General features: G+C 45.2%; 1 protein-coding gene and 1 pseudogene across 4 annotated transcripts; one reads left to right on the top strand and one right to left on the bottom strand.

The window, feature by feature from the left end:
* Positions 1–3,654: 3,654 nt before the first annotated feature.
* XAGE1A (X antigen family member 1A) lies at positions 3,655–8,659 on the bottom strand. 4 transcript variants are annotated; one of them, NR_033254.1, is made up of 4 exons: positions 8,238–8,590; positions 7,010–7,151; positions 6,356–6,482; positions 3,655–3,765 (listed from the first exon to the last, which is right to left on the bottom strand). NR_033254.1 is itself a non-coding variant. In NM_001097596.3 (4 exons), exons 2-3 carry the CDS (start codon positions 7,103–7,105, stop codon positions 6,385–6,387), a joined length of 210 nt encoding a protein of 69 aa, NP_001091065.1. In that variant the 5' UTR covers positions 7,106–7,151; positions 8,558–8,659; the 3' UTR covers positions 3,655–3,765; positions 6,356–6,384. The 4 variants fall into 4 exon arrangements, 3 of the variants coding, with proteins under 3 accessions (NP_001091065.1, NP_001091063.2, XP_016885237.1); NM_001097596.3 differs by having other exon boundaries at positions 6,994–7,151; positions 8,558–8,659; NM_001097594.3 differs by having other exon boundaries at positions 8,558–8,659.
* RBM22P6 (RNA binding motif protein 22 pseudogene 6) lies at positions 18,483–19,422 on the top strand (annotated as a pseudogene).

The raw sequence follows: 26,375 nt of genomic DNA, 5'->3' as shown, positions 1-26,375 counted from the left end.
AGATGGGGTCTTTAAAAAGGTAATTAAGTGAAATGGGGTCATTAGAGTAGAGTCTAAGGCAATGTGCCTGGTGCCCTTACAAGAAGAGGAAATGAGGACACAGACTTGTACAGAGGGAGGGCTAAGGCAGACACGGAGAAAACAGCTGCCTGCAAGGCAAGGAGGGAGGCCTTAGAAGAAACCAACTCTGCTGACACCTTGATCTCAGATGTGTAGCCTCCAGAATTGTGAGAAAATACATTTTTGTTGTTTAAGTCACCCAGTTCATGGTAGTTTTTGATGGCAGCCCTAACAAACCAATAGAAACACTTTTAGTGCCGCTCAGAAGGCAAGCATTATCATATCTATTTTATGAGCTAGAACTCCTGCTCCTCCAACTAATATAATGAGCATGTAATGATACCTGTATCTGAGCAACTGAGCAGTGATGAGAAAACTTCAAAACTTTGGAATTATTTTACCTTAAGTCTATGACCACGAGAGAATCGCTTCTCCCTTTCGCACTCATCCTACTTCCACTACTACAATACTCTCACAAATTCCTAGGAACCCTCCTCCATTTGAATGACCTACCCTAATGATTCCTTCAGAAGACAGAAGCTATCTGCTGGGAATTCTCAGAGCATCCCAAACCCAGGCTACCCCTGTTGGGCCTGGCATTCTCTGCCACCCTTGTGCATACAATGCTCCTAACGGAAGCAAGCCCCTCACCTCAGCTCAGGATCCCATAACTCCCACTTTCCCAGGGGCTTTCCTGCTGCAATGATCGTTCTTCTCTCCTGAACCATCAATGGCTCCCCCTATATTGGATCACTCCCCAAGCTAAGGGGGAAACTCACTTTCTTCCCCCATGTCCTTCTATAGCTACGAATACATTTAGCTGCTGCCCTTCAAAGCAAAACTGCCTCAACATATACAACTCACTTCACTGGAGTCATTTTCCAAAATTACCTGGCAACAAAAATGAACCAGAACAGCTGAAACAATGCTGAACTATAACTTTGGGGAACTCACACTACCTAATAGTAAGAGTGATGTTAATTCTATAGTAATCAAGAGAACGTGGTAATTTGGAAAAATCAACAAATCAGAATGGAGTCCAGCAATAGACTCACAGACATGATATATTGATTTTCAGAAAAGGTGCAAAGGCAATGGAGAAAGATTGTCTTTTCGTGAAAGTGTTATTTTCCTCCTGCCTCTTGGCCACTACATTGATTGGTTTTTATTCCCCTGGGTCCCTTCCCTGTGTTTCCCCCTTTGCACTTCAGCTGCTCTTCTGTTTAGTGGCCTCTCTGCCCCACCACAGTGTGACAGCCCCCACAGCAAGTACCATGTGTTGTTGGTTGTTCTTCCAATTTCCAGCATCCCAGGTATTTCTTGTAACATGGCAGGCCACTCATGCATGTCTACTGAATTGATGAATTAACCTTTTGTAATGATCCTAACAGAAAAGCATCTCCTGTGTTTAGGAGACATTATTGGAGATGATATGTTTCTAGGCACCTTACATATGGTCTTTGGTTTTGTGCCGGACACTCTAGGGTAATGGCTCTGTATGTTGCTCTGGAGCTCCTGCAGGTCACCACTAATAGGGGAAGTAGGCAAAGCTAGACTACAAGCTAACCTGAGTCTGGGCACAATATCTTGACTGCCCTTGGAACAAGGAAAGATAGGCAGGGCGGTGGGAGCTGCCACAGGTATTTTTGCACCAGCTCCCTATCTGCCTGGAGGCTGACACAAGGCCATTCTTCATCCGTCTCCCTAGTTTGAGGTAAGCACAGGCCTTTCTTCATCATAGGGTACAGTTGTGGAGTATAAAATTGCTCACTGCCTTTGGGCACAGGTGTGGGCTCCTCACCAGCAGAAAGACCCACTATCTGTGCTGTCCATCACTGAGTACCTCCGATTCACTGTCACACTATGGAAATAGGGATACGGTGCTTACACAATGCTGATCTTGCTTTTGCTTTCTCTACAAGCAATCAACCACTTGGATCTGTTTGGGCTCATTGTCTCCGTATTGGCCAAATTTAAGAATATGTGAAAAGGCAAACTAACGACTTTAGTGGTGATCCTCATGGCCCTTTTAGGACAACACAGGGCTGCTTACGGACCGCTTGAGTAATTGACACACTACTGTATTGAGTTGCGTGGTGTAGCATAGACAGAATATTGATTTAGTCTTCATGGCATCACACACAGCAAATAAGTTTTCAGCACATACTATTGACTTATGGTTGGCCTTGTAACACCTCGGTTATTTACAAATCAACTTCAGAATCTATGCCGTGGGTGACACCGGCTACACTGCTATTAAATTAACATATTTAAATCAAATAATTTTCTGAATTCAAATGTATTTTAAAAGTGAACTTGACATTCCTACTTGAAATTCAAAAGCAGGTTATCACACACCAGAAATGTAGTTGTAAGGAAAAATGAAATGAAAAAGTTTGAAATCTAAAGGAAAAAAGGAAATCTAAGTAGCAGGCCAAATTTATCTGCAATGTAAAGCCTCCTTGATGTTATTTCCTTTATTTTTCATACTAAGTATTTTTAGTGTACATATTGTAAATTCAACTTTAGAAATGGAAAAACAGTCCCAAAGGGTGTAAGTATCTTGACCACCATATCAAGAGCACTGTGTGAGAGGCAAGATGGAAACCCATGGCTACTTCATGACATAGCCTCTAAAGAGACGGTGTAGGTAGGACCCGTCATCTTGCTTCAGCAAGTTGCCCTGGTTCCTTGCCGCTTACTCCTACCTAGGCCCTAATTCTTTCATCCAGCTCTATAGCCTAGGGACTTCTCACATGTTTTGTGGCAAATGGGATACCCTAAGAAAGGAAGCAGATGAGGAGAGACATAGCGCAAGGTATGGGGAAAGGGGTAGGGAGCTTCTGTGCCCACTAGGGGCATGCTGCCCTCCATATGTTCAGCTAGCCAGAAGCCGTCTGAATCCTGTCCTTTTGGTTTTGATGGAGGTTTTCATTCTGTAGGCGTGACTGATTAAACTGTTGTCCTGCCACTGGGGATCAAATTAACCTTCTGCCTCTTCCCGAATGCTGGGGGGGGGGGAGGGGCAGCTGAAAGCCCCAACCCTCCTATTCCCCAAACTAGAGCTACCTAGGTGCTGCCAGCCATGAGTCAACTCACTAGCATATAAAAAGACACCACTTTGTGGAGATTTTAAAAATTGTAGTAGTTGTATGCCAGGAAGCAGGGTCTAGGACCAAATATGTATTACACAATATCACACCTGTGCATACCAGCTCAATCAGAACACAAAATTTCAAAAATGATACTGAATTTTAAAAAAAAAAAAAAAAATAGAGTCTCTATCTCAAAAAAAAATTAACCTCATCCTGGACCTCCTGGGCTGGAGGCATCCTCCACCCTTCGGCTCTAGAGTAGCTGGGGCTATAGCTACATACAAACTTGCATACATTCATGCATTCACTCTTTTATTTTTGTAGAGAGAGAGTCTTGCTTTGTTGCCCCATCTGGTCTCAAACTACTGAGCTCAAGCAATCCTCCTGCCTCAGCATCCCAAAGTGCTGGGATTACAGGCGTGGACAACCGCAGCCAGAAACAATTTCCAATATTATCAAATACCTGGGAAGGAAGTGAACCAAAGATGAGCAAGACTTCTTTGGTGAAAGCTGCAAAACTTTATTGAGATAGTTTAAGTCAAATATCTAATATAAAACCAGCTTGCGTTGTTTCAGCTTGTCTTCATTTAAACTTGTGGTTGCTCTTCACCTATAACAGAAGCATAACAGGTGGGAACATTACTAGCAGAACTGTGTTTAAATGACATTAAGGATATGGAAAAGACACCAAAGTTTTAGTTTTCTACAATGGACAAAACCAGAAGCCTAAGAGTCACCCTTTTGCTTATATTCATGTAGACCTCTGAAGAGACTTTGACAACAGTCGTCCAAGTGTATGCATTAAAGATGTTTTTCAAACACACCCTGCTTTCTAGTGCTACAAGGAAAGCAAGACAGTCCAAGGTCCGAACACATTAAATGAAGTGAACCTACTAAAAAGGGGTTTAAAGTAGAAAGCAAACATTGTGCATAGTTTTACTCAAAATACCAGCACCACACAAAAATCCTAAGAAACAAAAAAGGAATTTACGAAAAATGTATAATTTTTGGCAAACACTCTTTTAATATTCTGGCTTGAATCTGTGGTCTGCATGCCAAACGGGCTCCTGGAAATGGTCTGAATACTATCTTGGAAGAAAACGGTTACTGTCACCTTAGGAACTGAATAAGTAAAGTGAATAGAAAGGCCAGCATTGCATTTGTTTTTACTCTATTGCGCAGAAGGGCAAAAATATTTATTTGGGCTCGTTTACCCTTCTGTGGTTTTTAAGGTACAGCAACCGTTTGTACCCAGTTTTCTCCTACCGTGATGTCAACATGAATCATGCCTCTTTTTACACTTGAAAGTATTCCCATTTGTATAATTAAGTATATGGTCGCATTACTCTTAAGCTATCACTATCAGTTTTGTCATCAATATGTGATAGCATTATGAACTGTGTCACACATGAACACATGGAGGGATACGGGAATGGAAAACAAGAGTAGGACAGCTGAAAAAGCCAAAATTTGTTTCTAAAAGTAAATGTTTCTGAGGGACAACTGGAAAATTTCACAGTTTCTTCCACAGGCTTTGTGATGCTTAATCAGGTATTACAGAAATAAATAATGCATGCCTTCCTAGCTTACCAACCATTTCATCCATGCTCTGAAAATCTTAGCGTTCAAGACTGTATTCACTTTCAATAAAGCCCTGTATTAAATCACTCTGTCTTGTTCATATTCCATGTTGTGCTTTTTCCGTTTCTTCAAGATTGTGTAAATTACTGAATATTCGTAGCTAATTTTCAAAACACCAATCTTTTCAATTTATGACATTTGAACTACTTTTCCTTATACTAATGATTCGTACCTGTCTTTTATTCACTACCACTTTCTTTTTCCTTTAAGTTTATTCTCTGGCTCTTTTATTGTTATTTCATAGTATTCTTTTCCTTTAACATGTAACGTGCTATTTATTTTAATAAGACGTGCATTTAAAGCTATGATCTCCCTAAGAATACAACTGAGGCTTGTTCAGTGGGCTCCTGGAAATCGTCTGAGAACTATCTTTTAATGTAAATAGTATAATGGAATGGTTCAGCAGGGTACAGTAAAAACACTTAGGTAATTTCTCCCTTAAACATGGGGTGCTTCCTTTAACTTCAAGAGGTATTGTAATTAACAGTCACCAATTTGGAAAATATGTGTAAAACATACTTGTGTCAACTACTCAGGAACTAGCACAGTGCTGTTGTTGAACTTCAAACCCTATCATCTAATGCCTCAAGGCAGAAACCTGTAATATGTAACCTATGGTATGGTTAGAGGTGACTCTACTATATGAGTCTTCAATCTAATTACACGAAGTAGTTCATGAAGACTGACGGGAGGGCAGGGAGCATGCTTAGCAGAAGCATCTTACACCCACCTTGGGCATCACTGACCTACATGCATTCTCTCTACTTCACTGGCCACAGAAACCTGATGATCTCCTGCCATTTTATCATTCAGTCATTCAAGGCTTCACTGCGGGAAGGCTTTAAAATGCAATTATTCTTTAAGAGACAGAGAACTCAGAATTTGGCAAAATACAAGAACACTCATACAGGGCTCCACACAGGAAAACAAACACCAAGCAGAGTGCCCGCTCATTTTCCTAGGAACCATGAAATCTCAACTCAGACACTATAATTGGACTGAAGCTGATTGTTATGATAAACAAATCATGAAGATCAGAATATCTTGGTCTTCTATCCAACAGAACCAGAGCATGTGGAAATTAGCAACGAAATGGATTTTAATCTATCTGATGTGCATCCACTCTTTTCACTAAGAGCAAGGATGCCTGTGGAATTTATACGATTCATCCAGACTCTCACAAATTATGGTAGAGCTGGTACTAGAATCTGCTTCAGGGCTCAGCATACTTCACACAAACTGGTATTACAAATGCATTATGTGTTTGTTAAAAGCAGAAATTAGAAAAGAATCTGAAAATTGTTAGCTGTTGGTTATACACCAAACTAAGAAAATGCTGTCACGTTTGATGATTCAATATGGCTTTGACCCAATTTGTTTCTGTATCTGATAGTGTTTAAGTCTTGCAATCTGGCATTTGGGTCTGAACGACGTTTCAAAGAACATTTGCATTTGCACTGTGTTTTTAAAGTAGCACTAATGTTATCCCTCTATTATCAAAAGTATAATACTGTGTAAATGAGAAAGCACATAACTTTGCATCTTGCTGGATAACATACCTGCTTCTGGCATTTTACAGTGTTCCTCTTTAGGTATTATCTTCACCTTGACGCCGGAACCCAAATCCAGATTTATCCCCGGTGTTTGACTGATGCAGCTCTTGCAGATCACCTTCCATGTCGCGCACTTCAAAATACAAAGGTTATCGATTTAAGCATTCCAACATGAAATATAAATAAGGAAATGATAATATTCTCTTCCTTCGCGTTACGAAATAAAGCCTGAGCCAGGCGTAGTGGTTCATGCCTGTAATCTCAGCACTTTGGGAGGCCGAGGTCGCTTGAACCCAAGAGCTGGAGGTGGCAGTGAGCCAAGATCATGCCACAACAATCCACACTGCGTGACAGATGAGCCTCTGCCACATAATAAAAAAATGTACATTTCTATACACCAAATTAAATGGTTTCAAGTGATTTAGTAAGGACTGTATTTTCAAGCATACAAAATCCATCTCGAAGAACAAGAGAAGATTCATTATATCCAGGGACAGCATGAAGCTGCAAACTATACTCTCCCTTTTCCAGCCAACTTTGAGCAAATGTTTGGTATCTTTTCCTAATGTTCTCTTTGCTCCTGTTACTGCTCATGGCATAGGCCACAATGCACACATAGACCTTCTCCCGCCCCATAGACATACTTTCCCTTCCCAGCACCTGGGATCTCAGCTGTATCCTGATCTTCTTCTGTCTGCTGCCCAGGTGTAGGATCCCGACTTTCAGCTGCTGGTTCTTCTTTTTGGGGCTCTCCATTACTGGGCTCCTGGGACTGGCTGTGTGGTTCTGTGTTTGTGTGTGTCTAGATAAAAAGTTTTGTTATTAATACATGTCAATAATATAAATATACAGAATACACAGGTATGTCTTATTATAAGTATGTCTAGAGACATTTCTCCAACACTACCCCGTATACCTAATCTTCATAACACTATTCTTCCCTCAGAGAGGTTACTCAAAGACAGATATCCTCAGGGACTTTGGAAGCCGTTTTAATCAATGTTGGGATGAATGTGTGTAATCTGTTCTGAATAAGCATGAGGAGGAAGTTATGGACAAAATCTGGGCACACACGATCATCCACCCACACAAAACCCAAATATAACCCTCTGGACTAATCTTTCCTTCATGGGATGCCATGATCATTTTTTATCAGCATGGGAGACCATTATCAGTGTATCCATACTAGTCCATCAACACTATCAGAAAAATAACTTTCTGCTAAGAGAAAACATCGAATGTTAAGACATTCACAAGCAGAGGCACAATGAGCTCAGGAGGTTGTGAACTTCTTGGCATAGGCCTATATGTTGATCGTCCTCATCAACACATACTTCACTCTGCAAGCAGAATACTGCGATTGGGAAAATGCACTTGACAGGACAACTAGATTTGACCGCTTTCATGGTCAAATGTTAACTTGGACATTTTTTTTTTTTTTAATTTAGAAATACTCTGAAAGTCCCCGGGCAAGTATAAGTGTATGCACCTTTTGAATCGAATGCTTGCAAAGCCACTTAAGTAGGTCTAGCTAGCTGAGCGATGTCTTAAGGCTCCTGGCAAAAAACACAGGGCATTTCCCATGAGGTTGGTTTCACAACTGGACACTCCATCAGGGAGACAAGTAGGAAATTACAGCTACAGAACTGAAACTGCAGTGACCACCAATTTTGTCACATAATGATTTGCTAGGCCCACTTCCCCCCCACCCCAAAGTCACATTTTTAGGAACTCAGGGCCCCGCCCATTGGAATCTCCACAGTGGAGTTGAGAATTTGCTACACAGCAGTGGGCACTCCTCACAGGACCCCTATGCCAGGCACTCTACAGACCTCGGGGCTGCGGTCACTAGCCCGCAGCATGCCCCGTCTCCAGGACCCTTCCATACCGCTCATGCCGTCCCTCTCCTGGTCCCGTCTGGGGAGTCCAGAATCTTCTGTCGGGGTTCCAGGTGCTTCTGGGACTCGGATACCCCCAACAGCACCCCAGCTTCGCCTGAGCCCCTCCACTCCTCGGCCCTCCTTCCTCCCTAGTTATGGCCGTGACGAGACAAGAAGGTCCATGGGCGTGGCACCGCATGAGAGGGACGACGACTTCGAGGGCCTTCTCACTCTGAGTCACTGACCACACAACCCTCCGGAAGCCTGCTGGTTCCTCTTCACTCTCACTCACACTTCAACTCCCAGTTGGATCTGCCTGTGGACCTACCCGCCGTGTCTCAGTAGCGGAGAAAGAATCCAGACCTCAGGGACCCGAGTCGCCGGCTCACAGCTCCGCCGCGTTCCCCACACTGGCGAAGGGGCCGATGGGAAGACGCCCAGTGAACATGCGCACTGAGGTGGGCACCAAAGGAGCATGCGCAGTGAGGTTCCCTCGTGCCTTAAGGGCTGTGGTGCCCCTCCTTATCCCGCCTTGCCCTGTCCTATGCTCCTTCCCAGGTCCCCATTAACGACTTTGGAATCCCTCCTCTCTGTGTGTGGGTTCCCCCCCACCAGGACTCAAATACCTCAAATAAAGTCAGCCTTCAAAACTCACTCCATGACCGGGCGCGGTGGCTCACGCCTGTAATCCCAGCACTTTGGGGGGCGGAGGCGGGTGGATCATGTGGCCAAGAGATCGAGACCATCCTCGCCAACATGGTTAAAACCCGTCTCTACTGAAAAATACAAAAATTAGCTGGGTGTGGTTGTGCGCGCCTGTACTCCCAGCTACTCGGGAGGCTGAGGCAGGAGAATCACTTGAACCCGGGAGGCGGAGGTTACAGTGAGCCGAGATTGCGCCACTGCACTCCAGCCTGGTGACAGAGCAAGACTCCGTGAAAAAAAAAAAAAAACTCACTCCATGCTCACCTGACCCTCCTCCCCGCTATGGCCCTCCTTCGTCCCATGCCCGGGACCCCACAACAGCAAGGCCATGGCAGTATCGCTGAGTTTTAGTAGAAAGATGACGACCTCAGAGGCCATGGACCAAGTGGCACAACCCACAGGAAGCCCCCCACGCTCCCCCTCACACTCACTCACACTTCACTTTCTGGGAGGACTGATCTGCAGACCTACTGGCTAAGTCATAGTCAGCACGAAAGAAGGAAGTCACGACGTCTCCTTTCACAGTTGTGGAGGGACAGAAGTTAGAGAGCAAGGCGCATAGGCAGCAAGGAACTTTCATAGAAAGGGACATGCACATTGAGCCAGGGACTTTTCAGGGCAGGGTAGGGTTTTCCGCTGTTCCCAGACCCGCATCCCCATGGCGTTTGTAGTAGAAAAAGGGACTTGAGAGCTTTCGTCTCTCTTTGTCCAATCTCATGCATTCAGAAACGTTGGGAACAGACAGTCCCTTACTGGAGGATGTGTCTCAGGAAGACCTTTTGTGGAAGAAATAAATTATTTTCATATCTTTATTTATAAAGCCGTTTTTATTTATTTTTTTTTCCAGACAGAGTGTCACTCTGTTGCTCAGGCTGGAGGGCAGTGGCATGACCATACCTCACTGAAGCCTCCATCTCCTGGGCTCAAACAATCCTCCCGATGTAGCCTCCCCAGTCCCTGCTACTACAGGTGCAGACACCACACCTGGGTAATTGGTTTATTTATTATTTATTTATTTTTTAGATAGTGGTCTCACTGTGTTGCCCATGCTGGTCTCAATTTCCTGGGCTCAAGTGATCCTCCCACCTTGGCCAGTTTTATAAATGCTTTTATTAATCACTTTGTTCTCTGGTTCTGGGTTTTCTGCCATGCTTCCAATAAACGTAATTGAATAAATTCTTCTGTAGAATAAATACATTCACACCTGTTTACTCTTTTCTTTTTAGGTTGTGTTACTTCACATTTAAATCTCTGGACTGGTAACTGATTTCCCTGAATATACCTGTAGGTCATTCAGACAGTATATGTTTCAGAAATAGCCATAGATTCTGACTGTAGGCTCTAGGCTCAGTTATGACCAGAAAACAAGTCCTGCCAGTCTCCTACCTCAAATGTATGTTTGTGTATTGACCTGATCCCTGGGACAAGTTTCCCAGACTGAAATCATGGTATCATAAAGCTGGACGCTTTCTTGAGGGGATAGAGTAACATCCATATTTTCAATCCGTGTGTAAATAAATTAATTAATGGATGAAAAGATGTATGCAATAATGCAAAGCAGAATAACAGGTATTTGATTAATACGGCATCACCAAATTTTGCTTTAACAGATCTGATCGTAATTATTTCAGTCTTTGTGGGTCATGTAGTTTCTGTGGCGTAGTGTTGTGTTTTTTAGCAATAATACTTTTAAATGGAAAAAAATCCTTATCTCAATGGCTATGCAAAACAAGCCATGGGCTGTATTTAGATCTCAAGCCATAGTCAGCTAGCCCCTGGATTATCTTTTACTTCACATATTTGAATGCTGTATTTTTGTACCAGTAGTCAAAAGATTAACAAAGGAGAGTTCTACCACCAGGTAAGATTTAGAAAGCCTCAAGAGAAAGTCACTTTAGCCTTGAAAATGAAAAACAGCCTAATAATCTATAACGTTATCTTTTGTTTTGCTTTGTTTTTAGATCATGAGAGACCTGAGGTAACAAGGCAGCCATGGGAACTGATCCAAAATGGTGACTTAGTCCCTCTGAGGAGGGATGAGACAAACAAACTGCATCACCTGTGGCAGAGCATGTGTGGAAGAAGTGACAGCCATAACAGGGGGTAAGAAGAAAACCAGTGAAAATGTAGCAAATTCATAAAGTTCGAACACAGGCATTTGAGAGAGCTGGAATCCTGGCAAGTCTCAGACACCAGCGGAATTCACGTTCACAGACAGAAAGACATCCTGTCTCAAAAAACAGAGTCAGAGTCTATAAGGCTGGATAAAAAGCAAGAACAAAAATAACAGACGCTGGTGAGTTTGTGCAGAAAAGGCAACGCTTATACCCTGTTGGTTGGAGTATAAATTAGTTCAACCATTGTGGAAAGGAGTGTGGCAATTCCTCACGGACTTAAGAACAGAAATACCATTTGGCCCTGCAATCCCATTGCTGGGACTATACCCAAAGGTACATAAACCTTTCTATTATAAAGACGCATGCACATGTATGATCATTGTAGCACTACTCACAATAGCAAAGACATGGGATCAACCTAAATGCCCATCAATAACAGACTGCACTTTTTAAAATGTGGTACATATACACCATGGAGTACTATGCAGCCATAAAAAACAGTGAGATCATGTCCTTTCCAGGAACACGGATGGAGCTGGAGGCCATTATCCTTAGCAAACTAATGCAGGAGCAGAAAACCCAATACCACATGAAGTCACTTATAAATGGGAGCTAATTGCTGAGAACACATGGACACCCAGAGAGGGCCAACACGCTGGGGCTTATCAGAGGGTAGAGGCTGGGAGGAGGGAGAGGATCAACAAAATAACTAATGGGCACTGGCCTTACTACCTGGGTGATGAAATAATCTGTACAACAAACCCCATGACATGAGTTTACCTATATTACAAACCTGCACATGCACCCTGAACCCAAAATAAAAGTTAAAAGAAAACTCGAAAATAATTGTGAACTCTTCTGATCTTTCTACTTTACAAATATCAGTTCACTTCTTTTTATAAAAGGTAGGAAAGAAGGAAGGGAGTGAGGCATGAAGGGAGCCAGGGAGGAAGGGAGAAAATAAGGACAAATGGAGCGAGGGAGGGAGGGTGGAAAGAAGTAAAGGAGGGAGGGAGGGAGGCAGGAAGGGAGGCAGGAAGGAAGGAAGGAAGGAAGGAAGGAAGAGAAAAATAGGGCTGAACAAACGTTTCTGTCCCTAGCCAAACAGCTCTTGATGGGAAGGCACTTTTAGAAACTTGAGTGAAAAGTAACATAAATCAGAGGATTTGAATCATCTTCATTTACAGCCCTTCAAAAGTTATTCTGGCTGTTGTTTCTGAGCGATTCAAACCTGCCTTGGTCTCCATTAAATCCACATATTCTTCAGAAGGGCAACTCTTCCCTGGATTAACAGCTCAGCGGAGGACCAACACAAACTGGTTAGTCTAGGAAGAAAAAGAAAAGAAAAGTGCAGGAGACCAACATTTCCTCCCCCGTGGTTTTTTTTGTTTTTTTTTTTGTTTTGTTTTGTTTTTTTTTTTTACATCTCCTCCTCAATCTACAGAGGGATATTTGAATCTCCACATTTCAAAGCTAAGAGAGCTCTGAGAGATCATTTTATATAGTTGTTTCTCAAAGGATTTTTAGCAAAAGAACACCTTCGTGAAATGAAATTTTACCCAAAACCCTACTGTAGAAAATAGGGGGATAAAATTATATTTTTCATATAAATATACCACTTTAATGTGAAGATATCTTTCTATGAAGGCTGTCAAAGAGTTTGATTGAGGTTCTTTTGAAGAGCCGAGCAGATTATTCTGTGGATTTCTGCGTAACATTTTAGTTGTATATTAACTTCTGCATCTAATTTTTCGGTACTTTTATTGTTGTTGCACAGTTGCAAGAGGATCTTGATTTTCACAGTATATTTATCAGTAATCTGTATCTTGAAAAAAAGAGCCCCACTCTACAAATAAATAAGATACAAGTAAAAGATGGAAAAAGATATTTCCTGCAAATATGAATCACATAAACTCAAAGTGTGAAATTAGTATCTCACAAAGCACACTTTATAGTGGAGATTACTACAAGGGACAAAGTGGGACATTACATAATAATCATAGAGAGGTGCATTGATTCAGAAGACAGAAACACCACGGATATGTAGGCAACTTCAAAATACTTGAGGGACAACTGATACATCATCACAAAGAAGAAATAAACACATGTGCCTTTAGTAGAAGACTTCCCCATTACTCCCAGCATTTGGTAGAAAAAGTGTACAAAAAATCAGGATATATAAATGCAGAAGGCTTGAACAACACTATCAGACAGCATGGCCTAATTGATATTCATAGATCAACAGCAGAATGCACATTCTTCTCAAGTGCTCATAGAATGTTCACCAAGATAGACCATATTGTGGGCCAAAAAACAAATCTCAACAAATTCAAAAGGAATGAAATGTTATAAAACATGTTCTATGACCAAAAAAAGAATTGAAATGGAAATTAGTTGTAGAAAGATGTCTGCAACTCATGAAATCTTGGAAATTAAATGTCACATTTAAGTAACTCAGAGATCAAAGAAGAAATTGCAGGAAAAAATTTTAAAATGAAAACTCAACTTATCAAACTTTGCAAGATGAAACTAAAGCATAGAGGGAAATTTATACCCTTCAATACTTATGCCAGAAAGGAAGAAAAGTCTCAAATCAATTATCTAGGTTTCCACATTAAGAAACTAGAAAAATGAAATCAAATTATACCCAAAGTCAGAAGGAAAACTGTTAGACCGTGCACAGTGGCTCATGCCTGTAATCCCAGCACTCTTGGAGGCTGAGGTGGCCGATCCCCTGAGGTCTGGAGTTCGAGACCAGCCTGGCCAACATGGTGAAACCCGGTCTCTACTAAAAATACAAAAGTTAGCTGGGCTGGTGGTGCACGCCTATAGTTTCAGCTACTCGGGAGGCTAAGGCAGGAGAATCTCTTCAACCTGGGAGGTGCAGGCTGCAGTGAGCCGAGATCATGCCACTGCACTCCAGCCTGGGTGACAGTGCGAGATTCTGTTAAAAAAAAAAAAAAAAAAAAAGGAGAAAAAAAGAAGGAAAAAATTTAAAAGACATGAGGAAAAATGAATTAAATAGAATTGATAAAAATCTATAGAAATTATCAGTGAAACCCAGACATTGTTTCTTTGAGAAGACAACTCGAATTAATAAACCTTTATCCAGACTGATGAGAGAGGGAGACACAGAGACTACAAATATTAATATCAGCAAACCCAGAGGGTCGTTACGTCAATACAGATCCTTTAGATATTAAATGTACAACAGGGAACCTTTCAAGAAATGTTATCCAAAAACTTATATTTATATTGAAAGAAAAAATTATTTGAAGGACACTAGCTAGCAAAACTCATTCTAAAACATATACAAGCAAGCAATCTGCAGATTCAGTGCAATCCCTAAAAAAAAAAAACAAACAACAACAGACAGTGACATTTCTCACAGAAATGGATAAAGCAATCACAAAATTCATATGGAACCACAAGTGACCCAGAATAGCCAAGCTATTCTAAACAAAAAAGAACAAATCTGGAGGACTCACATTACCTGACTTCAAATCATACTACAGAGAGATAGTAACCCAAACAGCACGGTACTGACATTAAAACAGACGTATAGACCCATTGAACAGAATACAGAAAGCAGAAACAAACCCACACACTTACAGTGAACTCACTTTCCACAAAGGTGCCAAGAACATACACTGGGGAAAGACAGTCTCATTAATAAATGGTACTGGGAAACCTGGATATCCATATGCAGAAGAATGAATCTAGACCCCTATCTCTCACCATATACAAAAATCAAATCAGAATGGGTTAAAGAAATCTAAGCTTTCAAACTATGAAACTACTACAATAAAATATTGAGGAAACTCTACAAGACATTTAGATTGTAGATTTCCCTGGGCGAAAATTTCTTGAGTAATGCCCCACAAGCACAGGCATCCAAAGCAAACACGGGCAAATGAGATCACATCAAGTTCAAAAGCTTCTGCACAGCAGAGGATACAATCAACACATTGAAGAGACAGCACACAGAATGGGACAAAATATTTGCAAACTACCCGTCTCACGAGGGATTAATAACCAGAGTATACGGGAAGCTCAAACAATTCTATCGGAAAAAATCTAATATCTGATCAAGAAATCACCAAAAGATTTGAGTGGACATTTCTCAAAGGAAGACATACAAATGGAAAACAGGCATGTGAGAAGGTGCTCAGCATCGCTGATCTTTGGAGAAATGCCAATCAAAACTACAATGAGATATCATCTCACTCCAGTTCAAATGGCTTTTAACCAACAGTCACGAAATACCAAATGCTGGCGAAGATGTGGAGAAAAGGGAACCCTCATACACTGTCAGTGGGAATGTAATATACAACCACTACGGAGAACAGTTTGGAGGTTTCTCTACAAACTAAAAATAGAGCTTCCATATGATCAAGCAATCCTATTGCTGGGTTTATGCCCCAAAGAAATGAAAGCAGTATATCGAAGAGATATCTGCACTCCCATGTGTGTTGCAGCACTGTTCACAATAGCTAAGATTTGGAAGCAACCTAAGCGTCCAGCAACAGAGGAATGAAGAAAATGTGGCACATACACACAAGGGAGTACTCTTCAGCCATAAAAAAAATTGAGAGCCACTCATTTGCAAAACCATGAATGGAACTGGAGATCAATATGTTAAGTGAAATAATCCATTCACAGAAAGACAAACATCAATTGTTCTCACTTATTTGTGGGATCTAAAAATCCAAACAATTCAACTCATGGACACAGAGAGTAGAAGGATGGTTACCAGAGGCTGGGAAGGGTAGTGGGGAGCTTGGGGGATGTGGGGATGGTAATGGGTACCAAAAACATAGTTAGAAAGACTGAATAAGACGTCCTATTTGATAGCACAGCCGAGAGACGGTAGTCAATAAGAAGTTAACTGTATAGAAGAATGATGCTGGCTACTGATCATGTGCCGGCTACTGATCATGTGCCACCTCCTGGCCATGGGAAGTGAGTCTGGAGAAGGCCATGAGAGGCAGTTCTGGGCTCAGTAGTGAGGAGGGTGTGACACTGCAAAGGACACCTTGCCTTTGCCCAAACCGGATGGACGTGGTGCTCACCCCACCTCTCACTGCTCAGCTCCGTTTCCTCTCCACCCGCACCCTGGATCTTTCCAGAGCACCGGGCCTCCTCCAGCCTAGGGACCCAACTGCTTTCCTAAGCTGCTATGGAACTGGCCTGAGGTCCCAGGGGCTGTGCATTGTGCTGCTGACCTCCGCTCTCTTCAGCCAGAGTCCCAGTTCAGCCGCTTTCTGGAGAAATCCGTCGCCTGGGCCCACGCACAAATTCAGAGCTTAGCAGGTGTTGACATGTGCTCCGCTTTCCTGGAAAGGCCACTCTCCCCATCACCTTTTTCACAGATGTGAACGTTGAGGCATGAGGGAGGGTAATTACTGGTTTACCCAGGGGATGCTAAGAACAGAGGAGAAAACCCCAGTGCTCAGGTGTGTGTCTGTCTGATGGGCCATGTTCACCAACCCATTTAAGTGGACGGGGCTGCTAATAGATACCTAAAGATTTGGTTTTAGGTATTTTACACTTGAAATCATTGGCTTCATCTCAACTGAGGCCTGACTGCCCAGTGTCTCAAAGATACAGGTCATGACCTGATCCTTCAGGAACAGATGGTGTTCCAGCTTTGTGGGAGTGACTTTCAAGGTGTGGAGCACTTGGGGTGACTTTGAGACACCTCAGGCTTCATATCTCTGCTTTGAATGAAAAGCTCATCACCCACGGCAGCCAGGGGACGTACCTTTACTCGATGGGGCTGATGTCTTGAATTTTTCTGTCTAGACAATGAAAACTTCTGGGAGCACTTCCAGTTTCGTGTAGCCTCTTAATAATTGATGTCACTAAATTCCGTATGTCCTCTGGGACTGTTCCTTTGATTCTGGGATGGTACCAGCTTTTATGCTTTTATGTGTAATCCGTAAAAGCCAAGTTGTTAATCTGCATGAAAATAAGACTTTGTTCATATCACACATTCCAACAGGTTTCATTTGTGATTTTTAATGTGGGATACTATGAAAAAAAAAAAAAAACTAAAAAACCTGGTCATTGAAATTAGACTCTGTTATTGTATTTTGTGAAGAATTTCCTCCTTCAGGATTAACCACCCATGGGCTCATCAGCACCTTTGTAAGTAAAGGGACAAAAACCAGGTGGCATCTACGAATGCGGCAAAATGAGGAAGTATAGGGAGACCACAGCACAATGGCTCTTGTTTCAAACAGAGTCTGGGGTGAAGTACCCGCATCTCTCCCCCATCCCTCAATATTCTCATCCTACTCCTGACTGTTCCCTCTTTAGGTGGGATTTTCTAAATACGATTGTCCACAAGTGTTGGTGGGGATGTTGCAATGTGAGGGTATCCATCATCAGTCATCTTAAAACAAAGATGAATGGAGAGGAGAGTGTTGTGATCCGTTTTCAAATGCACTGCTTTTGGGTGTGTGGCTGCAAAAACACATGGTCTCAGCAATCCCACAGCAGCTGTCTCAGAAGATTGGCCCCGATGCCACCACAGCTGCTGTTGCAGAGCCAGGAGCTCCTTGCGGTTTGGTGTCTTCTGCTTAAATTTGTGGATGTGACCCCCCTCTGCTCACCCAGTTCCTGGTAGCATCTGCTGAGTTTCCTGATTTGTTCCAGTGTTCCCTGAGAGCCAGTTGTGTAATGATATTTCAGAGGGTCTTCAGGGATTCCATCCACACTACACCAGTTACTGTGCAATGGCCATGTGCTTATCTTCTTGGAGCCCCCATGTGTGTCCTCTTCAGTGGAGCTGTGAAGAATTCTACTTAAATGTAGATCTCATTCTGATGCTCATCAGGCTGCTTAGAAAGCTGCTCATCTCGTCTTTGGACGCATGTACTTTATTCCTTTTGTGTGCATTGAAGTCTGATGCAGTTTTATTAATGCTGTGGACCCTTGTAGTTAGGTACTTTTAAATATCTTGGTGAATGTAACTCTGGCAACAACTTGAAGAAGTCGTTGTGTGATCCCCATTGTATGGGTGAGGAAGCTGACACTTGTGGAGGTAGAGCAGGTTTATTAACTCCACACAAGTATTGATGCATTTCACATCTCAAGGTAGAAGTCTTCCTCTAAGGTTCATGCTGTGCACTAACATGCACTACACATACTGATGAAAATAAGACTATTGTCCTCCTACCAAACGGGAAATTAATGCCATGGCTGGATAAAGACACTTGTAAAAAAACTGCACTTCTGTCTATCTCAGTATTCCAATGAAAAAGCATAGAATTTTAGCCAGCTCCTGGAGAGACCAGGAAGCACAGAGTGTCCTACAAGAATGGGGATTCCTTGGAAGTGAGGTTCACCTTGACTCAAGAAAGATGACTCACGTATGGTGAAAGGCAATTATCCAGGGCCTCAAGAACAGCACCAGGAAGGAGAGCTGGGTCTGGTGGGATTCTGGGGGTCCTCTCTCCCACCTGGAAATCTACTGCTGCCTGCCGACCCTCTCAAGATGGCGACCTCTCTGGGTTCCAGCGCCTAAAACAGGCAAAACTGGGAGGACGTCGATTTCTCCATTCTGTGCCAGATATGTCTCAGAGAAACATGACCAAGGAGAACTATGAGAAAAAATGCAAACTCTGTCAGGCCATTCAGTGTTTGGCTGGTGCCCGGGGGAGCACATGCATCCCAAGAAGACTGAAGGGGGCCAAGCCTGCAGGAAATGTCTGTCAGACTTGCCTCTTAGACCTAGAGTATGACTGCCCATACAGGTTCATGACACAGACTTGCCTTTAAAGGTGACTGCAGATATGGACAGAGGAATTTCTAACCCTGATAGAACATGGCCAGTTGCTCTGCTGGGGAAAGCCACGTCCAGTAGTGAGATGCTGCTCAAACTGGCCCGGACCACACTGTACTGGCTGAGGAATAAGCCTTACATTTGTTCTGTCCAGGTGAAAGGAGAGGACTGTCCGTAAAGACATGAGAAGCCTGCAGATCCCGATGACCCCCTCTTGCTGGTCAAAATATTAAAGATCGATATTGTGGAAACAATGACCCTGTAGCAGATAAGCTTCTAAAGCAGGCTTCAACCACGCTTCATCTTGAATCACCAGCAGAGAAGGATTCCACCAGAGTGTATGTTGGTGATCTGGCGGATACCATTACTCAGACAGATTTAAGAAATTGTCTCTGCCTGTTGGTGAGATCCGGATGGTCACCGTTGTGCAGAGATAGCAGTGTGCCTTTCATCCAGCTTTCCACAGGGTGGCTACAGAAGTGGGTGCCGACAAGTCCTCTAATAAACTGATTGTCAATGGCTGCAGACTCCGTGTAAAATGGGGACGATTCCAAGCACTCAAGGGGAAAAAAAAAAAAAAAAAACAAAAAAAAAAACAAAACAAAAAACAGGTTGCGGGGGACAGAATCACAGAATCTGGGATCCTGCCAGAGCCTATTCCAGTGCCGCCAGGAGCTCCTTCTCCCCCTGCAGCTATGGTGCCTACTTTGGAGCCTGCTTACATGGACTGAGGCCACCTTTTCTGACTTTTCCCAGTGGCAAAATGCACCTGACAAGGAGAATAGACGTAGGAACCTGGCCTCCTGGACCCTCACTTGCCCAGGATTTTTCTTGGTGCTGTGAGCTGAAGGAGTTCTTGTAAGATGGAAGCAGGGCCCCAGGATCATGTGATTGGCCTCATGTCTCTGCCTCACTAATGGTCAGGTGGTGGGCACTCAGGGCCTGGGAACCCAGCCATCCCTGATTCCTTGAGTTGATGAGGCAGGGGGCTGGCCCACCTGCTCCTGCCCCACCATGGCCGTCGTGGATGGTTGCTCTTTGAGCCTGGTAACGTCACTGGCTTGGCTCTGCCAGGCATGCACAGGCCCTGCGTACCCACACACTGCTTTAAGGGGCTTGCCCTGCCTTGGGCCACAGTCTAGTTCTGGCCAGTGTCCCAGGAACTCAGTCCCCTGTGTATCCATCTTAGCTGTTTCTGGGGCACCCATGGCTCCCCTGGGTCCTTTTTCTCTTAGGGCTTTGGTTGGGGAGGGCTTGGGCTGGATCGCAGCCCCATGGCTCTAGGACGCTTGCCATGTGAGAGAGGCTCTGTCACACGAATGGGCAGACATGAGGACATGTGATATGCTGCTGGCTGGCTGGGGCTGTGCAGATGCCACAGTCACTCTCCCCTCCAGCAGCCTCTGAGGGCCCAGCTTCCCCATTGATATTGATCCCATATGGCCTAGCAGTAGTACTGACTGCTTTGGGGCTGTGCAGGTCACTATCCTCAGAGAAACGTCAGATCCAGATGCCACCATGCAAGGGGAGTTTCTGTGGTCCTACCTCTGGGTTTTCAGTGGGGTGGGCCGGGTCTGGTTGTTGGAGCCCTGCTGGGGTTGCAGGGATGGGCCTGTCCATTGGTCCTGGCGATGTCCAGAGCAGATGTGGAAGGAATAGGAGTTCAGCATGCCTGCTCAAAGCTGCACTGTAGAAACCATGAGCCCTGGATGTCCAGGTACATGGGGAGTTTTGGGAGAGGACACCCACACAGAAATCGCCCAAAATCCTGGGGTCTGTCCTGAGATAGGAACAGACTTGCTGCACTCTGGGCGGCTGAGCCCCCAGAGAGTGTCCTGCTGCCCGGGGCTCTGCAGAAGTCCCCTCATGCTGCTGGGCCTTGGCCTCAGGGTCAGCTTCTGGACTTCTGGAGCTGGGCTGGTGGGCCACGGAGGGCCAGCCCATCCCCCTTGGGGAGGGTCTGCATGCTGAGGGATGCCCACAGAGGCCTGGGTGCCAGGGACACTCGCTCCAGGCCCAGGACCTTCCTAGGGATCTTTGCGGGTTTGGCTGAAAGAAAAGCAGATTTGGTCCACTTCTCCACCAAGCCCATTTGTTCCTTGCAGGGCTGGGCCTCATGAACCTGGGCCCCTGGAGTTTTGGGGGTCTCTAGTGGCCCACCTGGTGTGACACTGAGGAAACACCCACAGGCTGCTGAACCCAGAGTGAGGGGTGCGTGCAGCTTGGGGCATGGTTGCTGTCAGAGCATCTCAGGCTGCTCCTGAGACGGACCCCAGGGTTCAGGCTGGCTCGGGGCTCCAGGCCTCATACCCTCACCCCAGGGCGGCTCGGTCTGGGCTTCAGCCCTGGTGCAGAACCCAGCTGGGAGAGGCCTTACCTGTCACCTGGCCCCCTTGCCACCTAAGATGAGGATCTGTCTCCATAGCGCGTGAGACGCTCCTGGGCACTGGGCCCCTCTGCCATCCCGGACAATCCACGCCATGCCATGACTTCCCACACCAAGGGGCCTACTGCACCGTTTCCCTGAATCCTCTCTCTGGGTCTGAGACACTGATTCTCTCCATTCCCTGGCTCAAGGCTTGCCGTCGTGACACACTTGGAGGGGTGCTTGTGAGTGAGGCGCCCCTGCTGTTCTCTGGCGTTGGTGCTGGCAGCTGTGGGTGTTGGCTCGCACAGATGGGACCAACCCCTCCAGTGCCCCCTAGGGTTCTTCTAGGCCAGGAGGGGAAGGGTGTGGGGGAGGGGCTTGGAGGGGTCTTGCCCTCATCCCATGCCCTGTCACTGAGGCGAGTCTAGCACCTGCCCTGGGGCCCAGCTGGCCTGTTTTCAGAAACTTCTTTGAGAAGGAAGAGGAAAAGGAGGAAGGCCCAGGGAGTAGGGATGGAGGGTTCTGGGCACTCCCCATGATTTAATGCCTCAGAGGGTGACTCGGGAGGCTGGAGCCCACGTGGGATGCAGGTCGCAGTGTGTCCTTCTCAACTCGACCATGGAGGCCTGAGCACCACGTGGTCCTCAAGAGTCCAGGCCTGAGACAGCATGTCCTGAAGGAGCTCCCATGGGCCAAAGAGAGACAGCTTCAGGAGATGTTCTAGGAATGGGGCTGCACATCAGGCCAGGTGGGGTCTCCTGGGAGAGGTCTGTGCCTTCACCTCGTTTCTGCTCTGGGCACTTCCCAGTGGGCAGTGCTGGGCCCCTTTTGGACAACCCTGGGGTCCAGCTGTGCACAGGAGGCCATGGATGCAGGGAAGGCCCAGGCAGGGGAATGCTCACCACGCTCCTGCCTTTCATCTGTGTCGTGTCAGGGGTGGGCTCAGTTTCCAGAAGGACTCACGGTGCCCTGCACAGCTGACCAGGCCTGGCTTGGCTTGGCCTTCCCTCTAGGCCAGAGCAGAGGGTCGTGTGGACAGTGCAAGTGCTGCCCTCAGGACAGTTGAGGTCTGTCTTGTGTGGTCCTCCTGCTACCTTCAGGCACATGGGGACAAGTTTCTATGAACTTTGAATGCCGCTTATGTCCTGGCTGTGAGCTTGTGCTCGCCCTGCAGAAGGCAGACCTCCCAGAGCCTCAGGATGAGCCCAAAAGGGGTCTGTGGGGACAGCAGGCCTGGGAGGACCTGGCCTGTCAAGGCTGATGGCTGGTGGAGTGAGCAGAGCCTATTGGGATCCCAGTCTGTAGTGCCGGGGACCCACTCTGCACAGTATCAGACCCCCCTTCCCAATGAGGCTATGTCAGACAAGATCCTGCAGATCCTCATGGGGGTCGACTCATCTCAGTGGGATGTGGCCCCTGGAAGAAGGGGCTCCCCAAGTTCTCTCCCAAGGTGAGTCCTAGCCCAGTCTGCACACGATGCCGGCTCTGAGCCCCAGCCCCTGCTGTGGGATGTCGGCATGGTTTCTGTGCCCTGCAGGGACGTGCCTCTGCCTCCTGTGCAGAGGAGACGAGCAGGATCATTCTGGAGGGGTCAGAACCCTACAGCGGGGAAGCCAGGCACTGTGGGCAGCAGGGTCACTGGACTGGGGAGGGGGGGCGGTCTCCTGTGCATCCTTGCCCCATCAATTGAGTGCTGTGGGAAGCACATTAAGGTGGCAGTCTGGGTGCACAACATTTCCTTGTCCTCATGGAAGGAGCAGAGGTGTTCAGAGCCCCTAGGACTTCCCTGAAAGCCTCCCCGTTCCCGGGCCCTCTGCAGTCCCTACCCAATGCCAGAACTCCAGGCAGTAGGCTGGGCTGTCACCCTCTTCTCTGAGACACCTACCTCGACTCAGAGACCTCCCCGATGCCCTTCAGATGGGGACCCTCCATAGGCCTTATTTGATGCTGTAGCGCTCTTGGAGCACGCATGGTTTCTGAAGGCGTGGCTCACGTCCAGGCCATTCTGGTGTACATTCACTGAGGACAGCTTGCCCTGCTCCATCATTTTCTGTAGAGCAGGGCCAAGAGGGGGACCCACCCTCATAACAGACACAAGACTCACTGCCGAAACAGCTGTCATAAAACAGCAGTTCTGGAAGGAAAAGAGGCTTTTTCTGCAAAAAACTTCTCCTCCTTGTTTCCAAAGGCAGGGAAAGCCATCAGAGCCCAGCTCACCTGTGGAGCCCAGGTCACTATCTATCCGGGATTTGTGACTGGCCCCTTCCACCCTCTCAGGACTGACTTTCCCTCCAGCTGGGTAACTGGGCGCCTGACATGGCATGGCATGTTTGTCCTGCTCTGGCCAGTTGTGGTCGGGCCAAATGAGGTATTTCCCTAGGTTCCTGGCCTTCCCCTTCTTGAAAACCATCAGGAGTGACCACACTGGACCCCAGACTTGTGGGGGGATTCCCTTGTAGATCCAGTGAGAAAACCATGGACAGAAGAAGGCTTTGGTGAGACAGGTCTCAGGGTGATAGTAAGGAGGATCAGAGTCTAAGCATTCTGGAAGCCTCCTGCCTTTGGCTCCAAGGTTCCTCGGGGGAGGTCGAGTCTACCTAGGACCGGGCCTTCCTTCCAATGAATAAACAGTGGACAAGTGCTAAAAAAGACAAACAAAAAAAGAGTGTAACTGTGCATTTTAAAATAACATGAACAGTATAATTGGATTATTTGCAACTCAGTGGATAAATGCTTGAGAGGAGGAATACCTCAATCTCCATCATGTCCTCATTTCAAATTGCAAGCTGCATCAAAACATGTCAAGTATGTGTGCCTACTAAATACCCATAAAAATGGACATAAATGAAACGTTAAAAAACAAATAAACGACATATATAGCCGTATATCAATTAAAGGAATTGGATTCAGTAAAAGCAACAAAGAAACTCAACAAAGATATTTCTCAATTAAACCTCATGTTTCTGGTGACTTCACTGGATAATTCTGCCAAACGTTTCTGGGAGAAATAACACCAGTTCTCCACTCAAGATAATTGAGGAGAGGCCACACTTTCCAAAGCATTTTACAGAGCAAGCACAAGCCTGATATCAAAACCAGACAACATTATGAGAAAATAACATGACAGACCAATGTAACTCATGAACATAGACACAAACTCTGTAAAAAACAATTAACCGGAGTTAGAAACTAGCAACATAAAAAATTTACATCCTAGCCAAATGGAATTTCCTCCATGTGAGTTTAGCAAAGTAACATGGTACAAGATGAACATGGAAAAGTCAATGCTATTTTTATATGCCAGCAACAAACAATTGAAAATTGAAAGTCGATATCCCTTAATATAGCAGCAAACCCCCCCGTGAAATCTGTAGTGGTAAAATTTAACAAAATATGTGCAAGACCTGTGCTCAGAAGCCTAAAAAACATTTCAGAAAAATATGAAACCACGTTGAAATAAATAGAGAGACATACCACATTAATGGATTGCAAGACTCAAGATTGTCAATATGTCAGTTACTCCCAAATAATCTATATGTCTAGTGTAAACCAATAAAAATCCCTGCAGCCTCTTGTTGCTATAAAATGACAAGCTGACTTCAAAATTTATATGGGAAAGCAAAGGGACTAGAATAGCCTAACAATTTTATAAAGGACCAAGAATATTGGAGGACTCACATTACCTGATATCGAGATGCATTTGACAACTATGCTAATCAGGACACTGTGATATTGGCAGAAGAAAAGGCATAAGAGTCCGAAGCTAGATCTATATATTCAAGTTAAATGGATTTTTCCATAAAGTGCCAAGAGAATTCAGTGGGGAAGGATGTTTTATTCCAGGAGTGGTGCTGGAACAGTCGGACATTGACATGCAAACAAATGAACCTCAAACTTTGCCTCACACCATACACAAAAGTTAACTCAAAATGCTTCATAGAACTAAATGTGAAAGCTAATGTTACAACACTTGTAGAAGAAAATGTAAGGGAATCTGCAGCATCGTGTAAGATAAAGATAGACAGGATGCAAAAAGCACAAACTATGAAATAGAACAAACATACATTTTTAAAATTTTATATACTACAAACCTGTCCCTTCTATACCTTCACAAAGGAGAAAGAAGCTTTGGAGCTGGGAAAGCAGACTATTCCCCTGCTCTAGTAGTTCTCAGACAAGCTTCTGTGAAAGTTAGAGCCCAAGATCTGTTAAAAGTGCAGATTCCAGGAATCACACCCAGTGAAGCTTATGTAGTGTGGCCACAATGGTGTCCTAGGATCTGGGAATTCACTGCCCAGCCTAGGGAACTTCCAGAAACTTTATTAAATCCCTTAGGTAGCAAGACTGTCTGAAATATATCCACTCTTCCCAGGACAGACATGAAGTTGAGAAGAGCGACCTCAGAGCACACAGAAACACAGGACATGATGAACACAGTGTGAAAATCACCATAAGGGTAAGGCAGTGCGTCTTATGAGAAGACCTCACAACTCTTACTGGCCTTTCTCCCCAGAGGCCTCAGTTTATCTCAAATCCCTGCTCCTCATGGGTGGTGAATGGAGTTGTGTCAGGAAATGACCTTTTCGATCCCCAAAAGGCATGGGCTCCTTTCAGGGGCCACTGAACACATAGGATGGGGCATGATGCAAGCTATTGTTCCCCTCCCACCAGCCTTGGTTTCCTTCTTGCACCATCATGTGCTTCCACGGGAGCCTAGAGCAATGACACGACTTAGGGCCAATGTCTTCCCTTTTTAGGAGACCGGCCCCTCGCCTGAGCAGTGCGTCTCCCCTCTCCTCCTTTCAGCTGTCCTTCTCCTGATCTCATCTGCCATTCCACAGCAGACAGCTGTCCCTCGTAGCCTGATGATCTAGCCTGGCCCCTTCCTCCTATGTCCCAGCCTGGAGAGGGCTGCCCTCCCCGAGTGGAAGGACATCAGTCCCAGGGTCCCAGAGCCATGACTACTACAGAACCATCCTTAGCATCAGTGTCCCATGGCAGTGGCTGACCTTTGAAATGAAGCTTCACCACCCATCGCAGCTGGCCCTGAAACACTTTCTTTTCTTTTTGTCTCATTTGAGACAGGCCCTCACTGCGTTGCTCAGCCTGTAGTGCCGTGGAGAAATCATGGCTCACAGTAGCCTTGACCTCCCAGACTCAAGCAATC

Source organism: Homo sapiens, chromosome X (assembly GCF_000001405.40).
Source record: "Homo sapiens chromosome X, GRCh38.p14 Primary Assembly".
NCBI classification, from domain to species: Eukaryota; Metazoa; Chordata; class Mammalia; order Primates; family Hominidae; genus Homo; species Homo sapiens.
Note: the sequence above shows the minus strand (reverse complement) of the source record. Positions and strands in the feature narration are given on the sequence as shown.